We start from the raw sequence: 19118 nt of genomic DNA on the forward strand, positions 1-19118 counted from the left end.
AGAATTTTTTAATCTATTTTTTCTTTCACCTTAAGAGATGTGAACTATAATTTTTTCCATTTTATATGTGTAATGGTGAAGTGGCCAAAATGTGGGTTAGATGTTATTGTATTTCAAAGCGAGCTTGGGAAGGGGCGCAAAGCAGTCTGCCTTTAAATGTGTTATTTCCAGCCAGGCGCGGTGGCTCACACTCGTAATCCCAGCACTTTGGGAGGCCGAGGCAGGTAGATCGCTTGAGCCCAAAGAGTGAGAGACCAGCCTGGGCAACATGGGGGAAACCCCGTCTCTGCTGAAGAAAAAGAAAAATAGAAAAAAAAATTAACCGGGCGTAGTGGTGGGCGCCTGTAATCCCAGCTACTCTGGAGGCTGAGGCAGGAGAATCACTTGAACCTGGGAGGCAGAGGTTGCCGTGAGACAGGATCGCGCCACTGCACTCCAGCCTGGGTGACAGAGCGAGACTCTGCCTCAAAAATAAATAAATAAAATAAAATGTGTTAGTTCCCCTTTGGAGCAGAAAGAAGTGGACACTTTTATAAGGTAAGGAGGGAAGTGAACAAGGGCAGGCGGTCCCCCTGCTAGCTTGGTGCCTCATCTACCTGATAGTTGAGTTGGCACCAACCCGGGCAGAAATAAGTTGTGAAAATGGCCAAGCAGGCAGACTTAAGATATGCCCTTCTGATGGGTGAAAGTCCCAAGGCCACCCCGTGAAGGTGAAAGTTCCATGGCAGGTGTTCTCTGGTTTGCAAATGGACTATCAGCTCTCCAGGAGAGATTTGTCTTGGAGCACACAGTTAGAACTTACCCTGCAGGGAGTATCTGGTGAGGAGGACGTGAAGGGTTATATTTGCATTTCTGAAGGGCTAAGTAGGAAACAGGGAACGGGAGGAAAGGGGACAGGATAAGAGAAAATAATAAAAATAATAGTAACTCATTCCTCTTTTCTTAGAAGAAATGGGAGTACTCAGTTAAGACTACATGAAGGCAGAGGGAGGGAATAAAAAGAGGAGGCAGAATTTAAATAGGATTTTTTAACTCCTAGTCCAATAAATAAATGATGCCCACAGTTGTTGGTGTTGGACAAGAGTCTGTTTTCTGTTGCTTTTAGATCTGAGAACTGAGCCCTCTCCTTCACAACAAAATTGGCCTATTAATTCCAGTGTTACTTCATGTAATTTTTTTATTTGTCCAGAACTAAAACTATCCTTTCTCTATTGTCGACAATTCCATTGGCTAAGCCAGGTTTCAATTGTCTGCTGAATATCAGGAGCTCTGTGTTAAAATTAACTCATTCATTCTGCTTTGATTTTAGAAAACAGATAAACAACTGATAGTATTTTTGCAAGCATCTTTTGTTCTAAAGCATAATATGTATTGGTCTGTTTTGGTACTTCCATGTATGTATTTCATGTTAAAACCAAGAAGGCTGAATTTAGTAAATCCAAAGAGTTTCCCCCATCATTTTCCCTTTTCATTCATTTCTACTGCCCTAGGTTGGGCCTTCCTCATTTCTTGTCTGAATAGCTCCTGATGGGTTTCCCCAATTTTACTTTGCTTGTTCCCACCACCTTTGTATTTCTGAATACAAAGAACTGATTAGGTCTTTCCCCTACCTTATAATCCTCAGTGACACCTCTTTGCCTGCTCATAGTAGTTAACGGTATCTTGTGACATCCAAGGCTCCTCAGAATCTGGTAAGTGCCTTTCTAGCTCAGCCTCATTGACTTCTGCTCGGCTACTCCTCCTCCTTCCCCCATCCCATCTATATTTCATCCACAGTTAACATCCCCTTGCTTTTACTGATGATATTCTGTCTTCATGGAAAGCCTACTGTTGTCTCCTGGCTTTTTCTTCCTTTCTTTCTTGGGTGCACAATCCAATTGGTGAATAATAACTTCTTTTTTAAGGCCTAGTTTAAATATCACTACCTCTATGAAAATTGTCTTTTCTATTTTAATTTTCTCTTTCTTATCCCAGCCAGTTCATCAGCTAATCTGGTGACTTCTCATCACCTCTACTGCTGGTCTAAGCCACTCTCATCTTACACTTGGATTATTGGCAGGAGCCCCCTGACTGGTCTTCCTGCTTCCGTCTTTGTTCCACAAAGTCTGTCCTTCACATAACAGCTACAGTAGTCTTATAGAAATAAAAATCAGACCACATCAGTTGCTCAAGCCCCTCTAGTGGCTTCCTATCTCACACGAAAAAAGCTCAAGACCCGTCCTGCTCTACAAGGCCTTGCGTGATCTGGGCTCCCTATTATCTCTGATCTTGGATCTTAACTCCTACCACTGCAGGCTTTGCTTACTTTTCTGCAGGTGCACTGGCCTCCATGGCAAGCATACCCAGCCAGGACTTTAGCACTTGCTGTCTCTAGTACTTGGAACACTATCTCTCCAGGTATATATATGGCCCAGCTCATTATTTCCTCCAGACTTTTTTCTTTAATATCATCTTATTGAAGAATTCTTTCCTAACAATCTTGGAAAAAATAATATCCTCTTCACACTCACTCCCCTGACTCTTGGCTTTTTATACTCTATCCCCTTTGAATTTACCCTGATTTACTTTTTCTTATAGCACTTATCACTATCTGACATAGTAGTTATTTGTTTATTCTAGAATTCTAGCATTTTTAGGGCATAGACTTTGTCTTTGTTTAATGCTGAATTTCCAAAACTAAAACAGAGCCTTGGTAATAGTATATGCTCAATAAAAATCAAATGTATTACCTAGTAGTTAATTGTTCTATCTCTGTAATCCCATAACACTTGCAGATGGTTCCTTTATACCCAGTGTATTTTGGTTGTTTTTGCTGTACTCTGCCTCTAGACTGTGAGCAACTTGAGGATAAAGATCGATTTTTTTCTTTCAATTTATTTTATATTTCAAGTACCATCCTAGGCAGCATGGATACATAAAATTCTGCATTCCAGGATTTTAAAGTCTTACTTCTATCTGTTCCCAGTACAGAATAAGGACCTAGCATTGTGCAATACATGCTCAGTAAGAGTTGGCTAGATTAAGTATTGAATGTTGTACAAATGAGAAGAGCTAGCTCTCATTTGTGGTTTATGATGGCAACTGACTAGCAGCTTTTAGTGTAGTCTCTCCTATGTTGTTGTTTTTATGTTTGTTTGTTTGAGATGGACTTTTGCTTTTGTTGTCCAGGCCGGAGTGCAATGGCGCAATCTCAGCTCACGGCGACCCCCGCCTCCTGAGTTCAAGCAATTCTCCTGCTTCATCCTCCCGAGTAGCTGGGATTACAGACATGTGCCACCACGCCCAGCTAATTTTTTTGTATTTTTAGTAGAGACATGGTTTCTCCATGTTGGTCAGGCTGGTCTCAAACTCCTAACCTCAGGTGGTCCACCCGTCTTGGCCTCCCAAAGTGCTGGGATCACAGATGTGAGCCACTGCGCCCGGCCTCTCCTAAGTTTGTATTAAAATATTAATATTACAAATTCCAGAAAAAATTAAACTAAATTGGACACTCAAGCCATTGGCAGAATTTTATAATAATTTTATGCCCTAAAAGCCTGATAGGATAGAACTGAAAAATGTCAAAATGAAATGAAAGCTGCAAACACTAGCTGTGGCTATATCTTGCTATGTTCATGGAAAAGTAAAAAAGCGAGAAAGGGCTTATATTAAAAACAAACAAAATCCTATCTATAGGGGAACATCGTTTTAAATACTCAAGAAAATCAACTTAGGAACTGGAAGAAATATTTAGAAGATTACTTTGGTGCAAATTAATAAGACAGTAACACTGTAAAGTTGGGAAGACATGGCAAACCTAAAATTGCAGGCTGAGATGTAAAGAGGACTAGTAAAAAGGGATGAAGATTAAATAAGGAAGGACATTTGAAATGCAGCAGAAGAAGTGAAAGTATTATTTGTAGTAGAATAGAGCAGAATTAAGTGTAGAAAACCATACACATACTGAAGACAAATTTAAGAAGCTTTCCCAAAATGCAAACAATAGGAAAAACTGCATAAAATATATGGCGGATAGAAAGTGGAGATCCTAAAGTAAGACTTAACGTGTTTCTGGAAACTGATACGAGCAGAAGAAACAAAAATACAATTGAAGAACAAAATGTATTGAGGTCAAGCATGAAAGTTAAAAGGACCCACCAATTTCCAAGTAACTTCCATTTTAAAAATCACATTTAGAGACAGTGCCACTTTATTTTTTAAAAAAGATAAACAAAATTCTACAAGAAACTATGGAAAAATAAGCAGCTTACTTAATTTAAAGAAATAAAATTCAGATTGACCTTGGACTTTTCTACACTGAAATGTACATTGACTCAATTACTCTGTTTTAAGAGATCTATCTAAAGCCAATTTATATACTAAACTGTGCTATATGGTGTTATTTTTAACTGGAGTAAAATTTATACAGAAGTATACTAAATTATACTATTCTACTAAAAAGTTACAATTAAATAAATAATGGTATATCCCTTTTTAATACTGTGACAGCCACCACTTAAAATCATGTTTTAAAATTAGAACATGCTCATGATATATTAAATTATAAAAAGAATACCGTCTTTGTATTATATGCCCCTAGTTTGTGTGTATATATGTGTGTGTGTGTGTATGTATGTATGTGTGTGTGTATGCACAGAAAACGGTCAACAATGTTAATAATGGTATGTATCTCTTGAGTAAGCAAGAAATCATTTTTTTCCAGAATTCTGTGTGCACATGTTTTGACAATGATGAAATATTAATAAAAGGCAGATTGTAGAAAAAGAGAAGTTGGGGAGACGTTGACAAAAGTTTTAAATTTTCTGTAACGGCTTCTCATAGTGACAACACTACAGGGCAAGGTACTTTATACCTTCACATAGAAGGTTTGAAATATTTGCTATCCACCCAAAGAGCTGCTGGAAATTTAATACAATGGGCTGGCATAATCAAAAAAGTTCTTAGCTATAGAAGATATTTTTTCAGGTATAAAATCAACTGAGTACTTAATTTAATGCCTATAAGTAGGAGAAACCTACATAGAGATATAAGGTAACCCTGGGAATAGCAATTAAAAAATCTGTTTAGAATGGTAAAGAAATGTGTAAAGGAGAAAATAAGTTTGAGCTAGAAATGGAACCCGTGAAACAAGCAGAAGACCTAGAGAATTAATTTTCTTAGGAATGTGAGTAAGTGTTGTATTTGATATACTGGTTATGAGGACTGATAAAAGATTTAAAAGAAATGCTTCACATATGACTCAGTATTAAGAATTAGATATATCAAAACTTTGTGGACATAGCTAAGAAGTACCTAGAAGAAACTTGGTAGAATTAAATGTTTATATTAGAAAAAAACGTGAAAGTCTAAAATGAATGATATATGATTCTAGTTCAAAAAAATAGCAAACTCAACCCTGGTTTGATTATTGCAGTCACATAAAAATAAAAATTTAAAGGTATGCAGATTTGAAAGGAAGAAGTAAAACTGTCCCTGTTCATAGTTGACATGATCATCTATGTAGATCGTAAGGAAGGCATCTACAAAAAGCTACAAGAACTAGTAAGTTTACCAAGGTCATAGGCTACATGGTCATTATACATGAATTAATTAGGTATAAATACATGACATAGTATAAAACGCATTAGAAACAAAAAGAAATTTTCATTTTTAAAAGTACTGTTTATAACAATTATTTTAAAATAAAATACTGAAGGATAAATCTAACAAAATAGGTACAGTATTTATACACTGAAAACTATAAAACATTTCTGAGTAAAATTAAAGATACTCTGTTTAAATGGAGAGATATCATATGCTCATGGTTTAAAAGACACCACATTGCTAAGGTATCAGTTCTCCCCTAAAAGACCTTACATATTTAACACAATCTCATGCAAAAATCTTACCAGGCATTTTTATGGAAATTGTAAACTGCATGTAAATTTTGTATGGAAAAATCAAAGGATATAAAATAGCCAGAACAATTTTTAAAAAGAACAAAATTGCAAGAATCAGACTACCTGATTTCAAGACTTACTATAAAGTAGATTAACCCAAACAATTTGAAATTGATATATGGATAGACAAATAGATCAATAGGAAAGAGGGAAGTATTCAGATACAGACATGAACACATATGACCAATTGATTTTCAATAAAGAGTCCAAGGCAGCTCAACAAGGGAAAATATGCAGGTAATCTTTTCAACAAATGGTGTTAGAACAATTGGATATCTGTTAAAAAGAGAAGAATTATAAACCCTTAACTCACACCATATACAACAATTGACTGAAAATATAGTTCTAAATGGAAGAGCTAAGACAATAAATCTACTTGAAGAAAACATAGAAAATCCTCCTAATGTCAGGCCAAGATTTCTTAGGATATAAAAAGCAAGAGCTTTCAAGGGAAAATATTGATAATTAAGTATTTTGGGAAAGCAGGAAAAAAGCCAAGCTACAGGCTGGGAGAAAGTATATTTTTAAATGTATATCTGATAAAAGACTTGTAGCCAAAATACATAAGGGACTCCTAAAACTCACATTAAAAACAAAAGCAACCTAACTGACAAATTACCCCAAATCGCCAAAATAACCCAATTAAAAAATGGCCAAAAGACCGGAATGGATATTTGTCAAAATAGGATAAGCATATGAAAAATGCCCAATATCACTAATCAGGGAAATGCAAATCAAACTACAATGAAATACTACTTCATTTAGAATGGCTATTAACAACAAGATAACTGTTAGCGAGGATGTGGAGAGAAGAGAACCTTTACATACTTTCAGTGGGAATGTAAATTAGTACAGCCATTATGGAAAATAGTATAGAAGTTCCTTGAAAAATTAAAAATATAACTACCATGTGATCCAGCAATCTCACTACTAGGCATTTATCCAAAGGGAATAAAATCAGTATGTCAGAGGGATATCTTCACTCCTGTTTATTGCAGCACTATTTGCAATAGCCAAGATATGCAATCAACCTAAGTGTCCATCAAAGGATAAATGGATAAGAAAATGTTGTGTATAGGCCGGGCGCGGTGGCTCACGCCTGTAATCCCAGCACTTTGGGAGGCCGAGGCGGGCGGATCACGAGGTCAGGAGATCGAGACCATCCTGGCTAACACGGTGAAACCCCGTCTCTACTAAAAATACAAAAAATTAGCCGGGCGAGGTGGCGGGCGCCTGTAGTCCCAGCTACTCGGGAGGCTGAGGCAGGAGAATGGCGTGAACCCCAGGGGGCGGAGCCTGCAGTGAGCCGAGATTGCGCCACTGCACTCCAGCCTGGGCGACAGCGAGACTCCGTCTCAAAAAAAAAAAAAAAAAAAAAAAAAAGAAAATGTTGTGTATATGCACAGTAGAATACTATTCAGTCAGAAAAACATAATGAAATCCTGAGGTTGGGCATAGTGGCTCATGCCTGTAATCCCAGTACTTTGGGAGGCTGAGACAGGAGGATCACTTAAGCCTAAGAGTTTGAGACAAGCTTGGGCAAAATAGTGAGACCCCATCTCTACAAAAAACATACACCAAAATTAGCTGGGCATAGTAGTGCGCACCTGTAGCCCTAGCTACTCAGGAGGCTGAAATGGGAGAATTGCTTGAGTCTGGGAGGTCGAGGATGCAGTGAGCCGTGATGGTGCCACTGTACTGCAGCCTGAGTGACAGAGCAAGAACCTGTCTCAAAAAATAAAAAAAGAAATCCTGATCCTGTCATTTGCAACAACATGGATAAATCTGAGGACATTATATTAAGTGAAATAAGCCAGGCACAGAAAGATGTAACCACAAGATCTCACTCAAATGGAATCTAAAAATGTTAATCTCATAGAAGTTGAGAGTAGAATAGGGGTTACCAGAGGCTGAGAAGGGGACACGGGGTGAGGGGAAATGGGGAAAAGATGGGTCAATGGGTACAATATTACAGTTAGACAGAAGGAATAAGTTCTGTTCTATTGCACAGTAGGATGACTATAGTTAACAGTAATGTATTGCATATTTCAAAATAGCTAGAAGGGAGGATTTTGAATGTTCTTACTACAAAGAAATGATAAATGTTTAAGGCGATGGATATACTACATATCCTAATTTGATCATTATACAATATAGACATGTATCAAAACATCACATTTTACCTATAAATATGTACAATTCTTTTGTATCAATCATAAAATAAAACCTAAAAAGTGAAATTTCTGTGTTACAAAGGGGGAGAACACAGTCTGTATTACAATTTTTTTAACTCAAAAGGTACAAAATATTTGAACAGATGCTTCAAAAAATATCAAATAGTTGTATAGAATTACATAAGTTTGTTTTTATTTTTATTATATATAAATATGAATGAAATAAGTACATGAAAAGATGTTAAACATTATTAATCATCAGAGGAATGTTAATTTAAACCACAATGAGATCTGCATACATACCAGAATGACATCAATTAAAATAACAGCTGACAATACCAAATGCTGACAAGGATATGAAGTCCTCATATATTGCAAGTGACAATGTAAAATGGCACAACCACTTTGTAAAACTATTTGGGAGTTTGTTAGTAAGCATACACTTACCCAGCAATCATATTCCTAGGTATTCAAGAAAAATGGAAATGTACATCCTCACAAAAATTTGTACATGAACGTTCATAATAGTTTTATACACAATAGAAAAAAATGGAAATAATTGGTGAGTTGACAAATAATGAAGTGCTATTCAAAAATACAATGGAATGCTGATACGTGCAAAAACCACAGATAAATCTCAAAAGCCTTATCACATAAGATTATATACTATATTTTTCCATTTACATAAAATTCTGGAAAGGTAAAACTAGTGGAGGAAACAGGTACATGATTGTTGAGGCCAGGAGCTAGGGAGGGGATGAACTGCAAAGAAGCAAAAGATAATTGGAACAGGAATGGAAATATTCTATATCTTGATTGTAGTAGTAGTTGCACAACGGTGTACATTTGTCAAGCCATCAGCTTTTGCACTTAAAAACTGGTATACTTTGCGGAAAAGTATACCACATAAAACAAAACCCCCATACAAAAAAGAATAAATTAGGCCTTAGAATGAAAAGAATCTCAAGTCAATGTTGAGGAGCAATTTAGACGTGAATTTTTTAAATTCCACAGAGAAAGAAAGATAGTAAAATAAGCCATGTGTGTTCAAATTTACAATTTCTGCTGACTTGAATCATCAGGGTATTTTAAAATCTTGCTGTAAATCAGATTCCCATGTTCCAATCTTGCAGAAGCCGGGAAAATTGGAGATGATGGTGCTATTTTGTAAGGGATACGGAAGTGGGCAAGTCTAAGGACTTGTTTATACACATAGACCAGGGAGACTGAACTTAGTACTGGGTAAAAAAAATAAAGGTCATCATGGAACAGATTTGCAAACAATGAAGTAAACAGAATAGCAGAGATTTGGCTTTGTAAAAAGAAAAAAAAGCGATTGTGCCAGACCACTTCAGCGCCTCTAGTTGCTGAATTGCAGGACTGGTAGTTGAACCAAAAGCAATAAACATAATGCATCTTGGCTGTGGTCAGATATTTTGATTTAGTCAAATATGAAGCCCTCACCACTAAAATTGGAAAATATGGTTTGCAGTACAGATACAGTACTAGCTGAAAAGTGATATCTGAATTGTCCTGGCATGACGTGGAGAGCAGAGGAAAAAGAGAAGTGTACCACACTGGGAATATCACTTTTGTTGTTGTAGTTGTTGTTGCTTGCTTGTTGCTTTTAATTTTTTTAGGTTTCAGATTCAGTAGGTACATGTTCAGTATTGTTACATGAATATATTGTATAATGGTGAGGTTTGGGTTTCTAGTGTACCTGTCACCCAAACAGTGAACATTGTACCCAATAGGTATTTTTTAACCCGCATCCCCTCCTACCTTCCTCATTTTTGGAGTCCTCAGTGTCCATTATTTCCATCTTTATGTCCATGTGTATCCTTTTGGGGTTTTTGTGGTTTTTTTTCGTATGTTTAGTAGAGACTGGATTTCTCCATGTTGGCCAGGCATGTCTTGAGCTCCTGCCTGCCTCGGCCTCCCAAAGTGCTGGGATTACAGGCATGAGCCACTGTGCCCGACCACATGTGTCTTCACTACTTATCTCCCACATATAAGTGAGGACACATGATACTTGATTTTCTTTTTCTGAGTTGTTTCACTTAGGATAATGGCCTTCAGCTCAATCCATGTTGCTGCAAAGGACATGATTTCAGGGAATAGCATTTTGAATTTTGGGTGATGATCCTATGGTGTGTTTGAAGCATTAAAACGTTTGTATGGGTAGAACATGGGGTGAGAAATGTGTGTGGGTGGGGGTGGAGGGGTAGGGGGAATTAGAGATAGATAAGGCCATAATACAGAGGGCCTCATAAAGTCCTCAATAAACCATGTTAAAGAGCAAGACTGTATCCTTGAATTCCCAGAAGCAGCTGGTGTAATCGTCCAGGCTGTCTTCCACCTAGCCCAAAGTTTTTTCAACTCTATCACTTGCTGCCTCTCCCTACCATTAAATGAGTAAGCAATATACTGAGAAATTAATAAAACTATGTTAAATAGACCACTTTTGAGCTCCATTTTAATGCTTGGAGAAGAGTCGGTAAGCATTGTAATTGATTCAGAAAAGAACCACAATGTTGGAAACTAGAAAAAGGTAAACATTTGCATGGCTGAGTTAAGAGAACAGAGACATAAGAAACTGTTATTACAGGACTAGGATAGACTCATATACCAGTTACTAAGCAGGTTCTTGGGCAAGTCCTTTCTGTACATTTATTTTCTTATTTATAAAATAGGGATGATAATTCAAGTCAATTATCTGTTATCTACAATTCTGAAGTTCCAAGAGCTCTGAAAATCAGAAGTTGGTTCAGTTTTATTTTGATTTCTTAAGTTTGTGGCACACTCATTTGATGGTGAAACCCAGGTTTCGTAGTCATTTATCAGTTAGTGTGAATATTTATGAATTCTGCAGAAATAATGTTTGATCTTATGGTGCTACCCTAAATTCTGCTGGATACATTCATATGTTATGCAAACTACTATTTTTCTAAAATCTAAACAATTCTGGATTCTGAAAATTCTGGCCCCTGTGGTTTCAGATAAGAGACAGTATGCTTGTAATACCTTCCTCTTAGGGTTGTATCAGGATAAAATTTCTTAAGGCAGAACTCAGTAAACGATGAAGCTATTATTATTTATCATTAATTAAGCTTAAAAATTAGATTCCCACCCCCATCCCCGAGAATGAACAAGAATTAGCACTTGACGATCCTTAATTTTATTCTTAATGCTTTTATACTGTACTCTCTCGAGCTTGATTTATAGTATATCAGTTATTAAAATGGAATGTTTTCCTTAAGAAACTTCTACGCTGAACACTTAACCTTCATTTCTGCAATCTTTACATACTTGGAAGGATACCTTATTTGCCTTTAGGTATTAGTTGACAGACTTATTTTTCAGTCATCTTTCCTAAGGGTCATCTTACGAAATTCATGGTTAGATTATGCGTTATATACCTCCTAACGAAAACACGAATGGATATGCTTATTTTCTTCAAGTTCTCAATAAAAGGAAGTTCTTAACATGTCATAAAACAAGTTCTGTGTAAGTCTTTAGTTAAAAGCACTAGAGCAAAAATACCCATCTAGATTTCATTCAGTGTTTCCCAAGTAGAATTTTATTTTTGTGGTTGAAGTTTGGCATGTTTCCTATTTCTTCAAGCTATATAAAACCCTTTTGCTGCGTCTAATCCATGGCCTGCGGACATGGAGGACTGATTTTGCAATACTTTTCTAGCATTGGGAAACTTCTAACTAAAAATTTTGTGTGCTGGAATACTTGGAAGAAAAGGAAAGGTCATTTAAACAAATACTATATTTTAAAATGAAGAAATAAAGCAACATTTTAAATGTGTGATTTTTGTTAAGATACTTGCCATTAGTGAGAGTTAGGGTGGGACATATCAGTAACGAATCCGATTGCCACTATGGCTCTGCCCCCCCACCATCTTTCCTCTGGGAGGATGTTGGGGCCAACTTACGATTGCAACCTGTGTGTGTGTTTATCCTTTGTTTGGATACATGTTACTAGGTGCCCCACTCTTGGCCAGCAATTCCAGTGCCTGGGTGGTTTGCCTGAGCAAAGTGCCTGAGTGGCTAGGAATGTAGAGATAGGGCTTTGACCCAGAGCACAGGGATGATAAGGTTTACTATAGTGTAAGGATTAGAATGAAGGTTCTCTTCTGCTTCAGAAGTGGGAAGAGGAAGCAACACAGGATGGGATCTCTATCTGGTTCTAGGTCTCAGGCTTTCTCCAGCCCGTTTTGCCAACTTACAAGCAACTAACCACCACTAAACTTCCTCTCCCTGGAGAAGGAAAAATTTCACTCACTTGTGAGTGAGAAGATCTGCATCCAGATCCTTTCTGTGCCATGATTAGCTGTGCTACATCAGGCCCGGTGTTTTCAGGAGTTTAGGACCAAACAGCCCCTTTCAGCTCTTGCATTCTCCTAGTCTTTGACATCAGAAGGAAAGTGCAGGCGTTCAAGGGAGTTCTTGTTTTACAGTTTCAAGCGATCTGACGTCAGGCGAAATCTCTTCACTCTCTAACAGATATTCCATCTTAAAAAAAATCCCATGAACCCTAATTCCTGTGAGTGTCTCTAAAGTATATTAAAGACTGGATTAATTGTAATCTAGGCAGAAATCTGTCTTTGTGGTTGTTGTTTAATATCACTCAGTACATGCCAATACTCTTCTTTCACTTAGCTTCTGGTAATCTATGAAGCTACTCGTGGTTTCATTCATTTAAACCCCTCTGAGCCTCAGCTTCTTCATGCTAAAGGAAAATAACAGGAAATAATGGCATAAATGTGTTTTGATAAACATAAAACCTTTTGTAAACATGGGGTTTTATTTATGATAGCACAAAATATTAATATAACTTCCTCTAATAACATTGACATACGTCACATCTATAGTAGCCAGTAGTAAACAGGCAGCATGCAGCTCTAAAAAGTGGACAGATTTTCATTGTTCTGATTTGGAATGTAACAATATCTCCTGTTGGTTCTCTCCTTCCTTTCTCCACTGGCCCCAACTCTAAGCAGTATTCCACTGAACTGAAGAAACTCTACTGCCAAATTGCAAAGACATGCCCCATCCAGATCAAGGTGATGACCCCACCTCCTCAGGGAGCTGTTATCCGCGCCATGCCTGTCTACAAAAAAGCTGAGCACGTCACGGAGGTGGTGAAGCGGTGCCCCAACCATGAGCTGAGCCGTGAATTCAACGAGGGTAAGCAGAATTTGAATCTCTAACTGTTCAACCTCCTTGAAGGTCAAGATTCTGTGGGCATTTTTGTTTGAGACCCACCTACCTGATTCAGACTTCTGCACTCCGATGGCAGATCAGTCTGCCTTTTTTTTTTTTTTTTTTTTTTTTGGCTGACAGTATCTAAGAATAATGATAAATAAATTCATGGCTTTCACAGTGGTTGAACTATTTAATATTAGTAATTACTAGATGACCTGAACTACTGGTTATCTTTACTCCTTCCTGCTTCCTTCTTTTTATTTTTCTTGCCTTTAAAATAAAATAAGAGGCTGGGTACGGTGGCTCATGCCCGTAATCCCAGCACTTTGCGAGGCCGAGGTGGGCAGATCATGAGGTCAGGAGATCGAGACCATCCTGGCTAACACAGTGAAACTCCATCTCTACTAAAAATACAAAAAAATTAGCTGGGCATGGTGGCGGGCACCTGTAGTCCCAGCTACTCGGGAGGCTGAGGCAGGAGAATGGTGTGAACCCAGGAGGCCAAGCTTGCAGTGAACCAAGATGGCACCACTGCACTCCAGTCTGGGCGACAGAGCGAGACTCCATCTCAAAAATAAAAAATAAATGAAAAAAAAATAAGAGGGTGCCAGGAGACTACATGGTAGCTATTCTACTTGGCCCAGGCTACAGTTTCTTCAGATTTAGTGTTTTCCCAGAAAGATTCTCAAGTCTAGACCAGTTGAGACCTGGAAGGGTAAGAGAAAGGAGCACCAAATGAAAGAAATAATGAAAAAACCAGAAGAAGAAAAAGGAAAAAAAGATGAGAAGGCAAGTAATGGGTAAGGGGAATAAATAGAAGGCCTAGAGCATACTGTGGCCAATCAAATAAAGGACTGGGAGTGGAGGGATGAGGTATCATGAAGGCCACCTTTAGACGCTATATCCATGAATAAGTCATGCCTCATATTCTACATCTCAGATCCTACAACAATTTAGCAGAAAAGGTCAGCAATGCCAAGAGTTCCCTTAGATCTGATATTATAGTTCCATGAAGGGAGACTAAACAGAGAGTGCTGAAAAGTGGAAGGTAAGAGCAGGATAAAGCATAAGCAATCCTCAAAGAGTATTGAGGGTGCCAAAGGTGTTGGGGGTTAGGATACTTTATAGAAAAAATATTAAAATATAAGGATTGATAAATATAGAGAGTATAATTGTAGAGAAAATCAATGGAAGAAGAAAGAGAATGGATCGGAATTTAAAAGAAGAAAATAAAGTCAAAATTCTCTTTAAAAAACTATTTTTTACACATTAATTTCAAGTCCTTGCCCACATGGCCACATTATCCGTACATTTATCTCTTGCTTTTCACTTAACAATCTGCCATAAAGAATATTGCAATATAGATAGACTTCATTATCAGCCTCCCTAACTTGGTATTTCACCAAGATAACATACTATTTGTAAGCGTTTTCCCATTTTTTAAACATAAAAATTGTTTTTAGTTTTAACCATAATAGATGATGCAGCAGAGAACATTTTGATATGCTTCACTTTTTACTTTTATTGAATGGTTTTTGTAGACTGGGACTATAGGACCTAAGAGCTGTTAAAAACAGCTTTACGGGTCCCAGTTCTTGGAGCATCTTCTTTTTTTTGGAGCTCTGCTAAATATCACAATTTTATGAAACTTTACTCAGTCTCTTTTTTAAAATTGCATCCCTTTTCTTACACCCAACTTGGGACTCCTTCAACACACAAACACCAGAACGTTTCTTATCTTTATAATCAACACAATGTTTAAAAGTTGAGGAGGAGGAAAGAAGAAGAAGTGGAAGTCATATCCTTGCTATCTTCTGCTTCTCAGTGTATTTGCTGGTCAGACTTTTGGGCAGCATTTTCTCAGTTAAACTGATTTTTTTTTAAATTAATTTGCTTATTTCCCTTTCATTTTCCAGGAAGCTGGCAAAATTTCCTCCACGATGAGGTCAGAGATGTAGTTATAGAGTTCCATAAAGCTTGAATCATTAATCTTAAACTCCAAATTATAGGACTGTTCCCTTAACTGTAGATGTGCATTCCAGCCCTTTCTGTTGCTATAAAGGTTATGACACCTTCATGTATTTGATATCTGGCTATGGGATCTGTTCGTTTCTTCAAGGATGCACATTTTCTTTATTATACAGACTATTTCTTTTGCCACCAACATCCTGTTCATGCAATTTCATTTTATTTTCTTTATTTTTAAGGTAAAGAACTAACTCTTTTATTGTTTTCTGCTCTGCAGGACAGATTGCCCCTCCTAGTCATTTGATTCGAGTAGAGGGGAACAGCCATGCCCAGTATGTAGAAGATCCCATCACAGGAAGACAGAGTGTGCTGGTACCTTATGAGCCACCCCAGGTAAAAAGCAAAAAACCAAACCAAAAAACAACACCTCTATGGACTGAGTAGACTTGAGAGAACATCTGTTTCAGCAACAGGGATGTTTCTAGCATCTATCACTGTCTTAGTTCTTGTCATCAAATATATAATATTTTTGTATTTTTTTCTACCTGTTCTCCACATGCTTTCCCTTCAGAATACCTAAATATGCACTGAATCAACTTGGTAACATGGCTCTGTGTCCATATTCCCATCTTAAGGGCAGATAACAATTGAACTGGCAATTGGGTGTATACATGAGATTGTTTTATCCAACTGGCAGTTGGACGGGTAGTGGATAAGCAATAGTAGTGGATGCAAGTGTTACCATAAGTGGGAAAGCCTAAGAGGGATCTCTTAGCTGAAGTTTGAATGAACAGATGATAGATTTGTAAATCTGTTGCATGAAGCAGAGTAGTGTGGTTGAAAGTACACTGGTGTAACAGGACCCAAGTTCTTTGGTTTGCTGGCTTGCTGTGTGGACCTTCGGCAACTCTCTCTCTCTAGGCTTCAGTTGCCTTACCCGTACGTATGTACTTTGGACTAGATTATGTTTAATTCTGAGAACATTTTGAGCTCTAAGATGTTATTAATGGAAGTATATATTCAAATCTATATTGTACTGTTTTATCCACACAGGGAAAATATTCTTGGAGCATTGCTACTGTTTTTGGCAATTATCCCCAGTTTTCCCTTTTCAGTGATATTCATGAAGGTGGTATAGCCTATTTGAATTACATGATGTGGATCAGCTTACAAACGAACAGGATCAAAGATCACAAAATGTTAAAGCCTGTCTCACCTAAGGTAGTGTTCAGTGTTGCAAACATTAGCTTTAAGCTTCCCCGCAGGCAAGATGAAGAAAAATCTACAACAGGGTTCAGAGTTTGCCCTTTTAGGAGGAAGCGTATCACTTCATCAGAAGTGGAATTCCTTAAATAGAGGGAAGAACTGAGAAGGAACAACGTCAGTTTAAACCCTTGTTAACACAGATTATTTACCCCTTGTTTTCAGGTTGGCACTGAATTCACGACAGTCTTGTACAATTTCATGTGTAACAGCAGTTGTGTTGGAGGGATGAACCGCCGTCCAATTTTAATCATTGTTACTCTGGAAACCAGAGAGTAAGTGGCGTATGTAAAATTGTCATTCTACACAAAAAATCACGAGCAGAGGGCAAAGTGAAATCGTGGCTGCTTTATCATTAATTTTGCATGTGCAGCGGAGAGCTTGTCCTTTGTGCTCTAAATCCTTGCTACAAACGGTTACATAAAAGATCTAAGAAAGTGGAGACAAAGGAAGGTGGGTAAAGTTAGAAGGAAAAAAAGAGCTAGAAAAGTGTGCAAGTCACTTCATACCTGAATTCTTGACATTTGACTGGAATTGTTCTGATTAGACCATGGTCCTCAAGGCATTTCACAGTTTTTTTTAAGTCTGCGCTGCCTTAGGGGATTTTATCCTTGAGACATCCACTGGCTTAACTCAAGTTTCCTTCAAAATATGTAGCTAAATACAGCTGTTCAGCTAATAGCTCAGAGGTTCTTTGGAGAACAAATGGAATGTTATTTACTAATATTACTTGTGGCATGTTAGCACTTTTGTGTTCTGCCAAGTGCTTTTGGGTCCATTCTCAAAGCCGCCATGGCTAAGCTGGTAGTACGTTGGCGATGGCCCATATGGGAAGTGGAAGTGGTAGATCTTCAGGGGACTTTCAAAATGCTTTGAATTTAACTCTTTCTTCCCCTTTATTCTAATTCCTAGTGGGCAAGTCCTGGGCCGACGCTGCTTTGAGGCCCGGATCTGTGCTTGCCCAGGAAGAGACAGGAAGGCGGATGAAGATAGCATCAGAAAGCAGCAAGTTTCGGACAGTACAAAGAACGGTGATGGTACGAAGCGCCGTAAGTAGATGTAGTGGCCAAATGGGGTAGGGTTGAATCTTCTCCAGATGTTGGAGAATGGGGTGATATTGGAGAAGCTGCATGATAAGACCTGTGACCTTCAGCAGCAAGTGGGACGTCAGCCCTCAGAGCCAGTGAGAATAGGTATAGCATTGAAGTGGACTCCAGGCATGTACTACAGCTTTACAAAAACAAGTAGTCATTGTGACAATTTCTCAGTCCAGGGATTCTCAAAATGTGACTTCCACACCAGTAGCATAAACATCATCTATTCACAGACACACACCAGCAAGATACGGGCTTTCCTGCAACATTACTTAAGCCAAAGGCTATTTCCCAGCATACTGAATTTCTTTTATGTATTCTTCCCTACCATCCTTCCACCTCCTTATTGCTAGGATCACAATCAATGTAAAAACAATTGTCCCCAGTTAAATGGACGCTTAGGGCTAGAGCCTCTAATCTTACATGTGTTGCTGGTACTACTGTCTTTTTAATATGTATATTAAATCTGATTAACATTAATATTTAATTATTAAGTATATTTAATATGCATTAGTGCTTTAGAAGTGTTCCCAGGATGAAACTTGCATTTTTCCTCCACCAGCGTTTCGTCAGAACACACATGGTATCCAGATGACATCCATCAAGAAACGAAGATCCCCAGATGATGAACTGTTATACTTACCAGTAGGTCTTCCTTGGGTGTTCATGGTTGCTTCATTTTAACCTTCTTTGAATGGGCTTTTACAGTATGATCATCATCTCATTATCTGTGACAATGGGAAAGGAGGTGTCTTAGTCAGTTGAAGCTGCTACAACAAACTACCGTAGACTAGATGGCTTATAAACAACAGAAGTTTATTTTCTAGAGTCTGGAAGTCTGAGATCAAGGTGCCCCTATGGTCGGGTTCTGGTGAGAGTTCTCTTCTGAGTTGCAAACTGCCATTTTCTCCTTGTATTCTCATATAGTGGAGAGGGCTAGAGAGCTCTCTAGGGTGTTTTTTTTTTTTTTATAAGGGCAAAATCCCATTTATGAAGGCTCCACTCTCATTACCTAAATTACTTCCCAAAGGACTCACCTTCTAATGTCATCACAATGGGGTTAAAATTTCCATCTGTGAACTTTGGAAGGACAGAAACCTTCAGTCCATAATGGGGAAGAGGGGAGACGGTTGAGAGCTGGTGATACAAAGGAGAGAAAATATGTGTTTTTTAAAATTAGAATATTATTCTTTCTCTCCACAGTTTTGGACTGTATTACTAGCATGAGCTTCTCTACTTACCTACCCACCCAACTAAAGCTAAACTCCTAACAGAATTTTTCTTACCCTAATATTTAAAATTAATTTGTCCTTCATTATTTGAGAATGATAAGATTATCCTAGGCAGCATGGCCATAGAAATTTAGGCCGAAAATGTTGTCAGAAAAAGTTCACAAAATTGATAATGCAGCAATGATAGCCTTGACTTTGATGTCTTTTAGGCAGCACTATAAAGAAAGCCAAG

General features: G+C 37.9%; 1 protein-coding gene across 13 annotated transcripts in view; it reads left to right on the forward strand.

Annotated features, from left to right (window-relative positions):
• The window catches only part of TP63 (tumor protein p63), a 300531-nt gene that overhangs the window by 254362 nt on the left and 27051 nt on the right, over positions 1-19118 (forward strand). For 10 of the 13 annotated variants that reach the window (NM_001329964.2, NM_003722.5, NM_001114978.2 and 7 more), the window contains 5 exons: positions 13125-13311; positions 15575-15690; positions 16726-16835; positions 17473-17609; positions 18217-18299. In NM_001329964.2, the coding sequence (NP_001316893.1) occupies positions 13125-13311; positions 15575-15690; positions 16726-16835; positions 17473-17609; positions 18217-18299 (633 nt within the window). The remainder of the gene's footprint in view (positions 1-13124; positions 13312-15574; positions 15691-16725; positions 16836-17472; positions 17610-18216; positions 18300-19118) is intronic. The other 3 variants (NM_001329148.2, NM_001329149.2, NM_001329150.2) reach the window with 1 other exon arrangement.

This window comes from Homo sapiens, chromosome 3, assembly GCF_000001405.40.
Source record: "Homo sapiens chromosome 3, GRCh38.p14 Primary Assembly".
In the NCBI taxonomy this organism is placed as follows: Eukaryota; Metazoa; Chordata; class Mammalia; order Primates; family Hominidae; genus Homo; species Homo sapiens.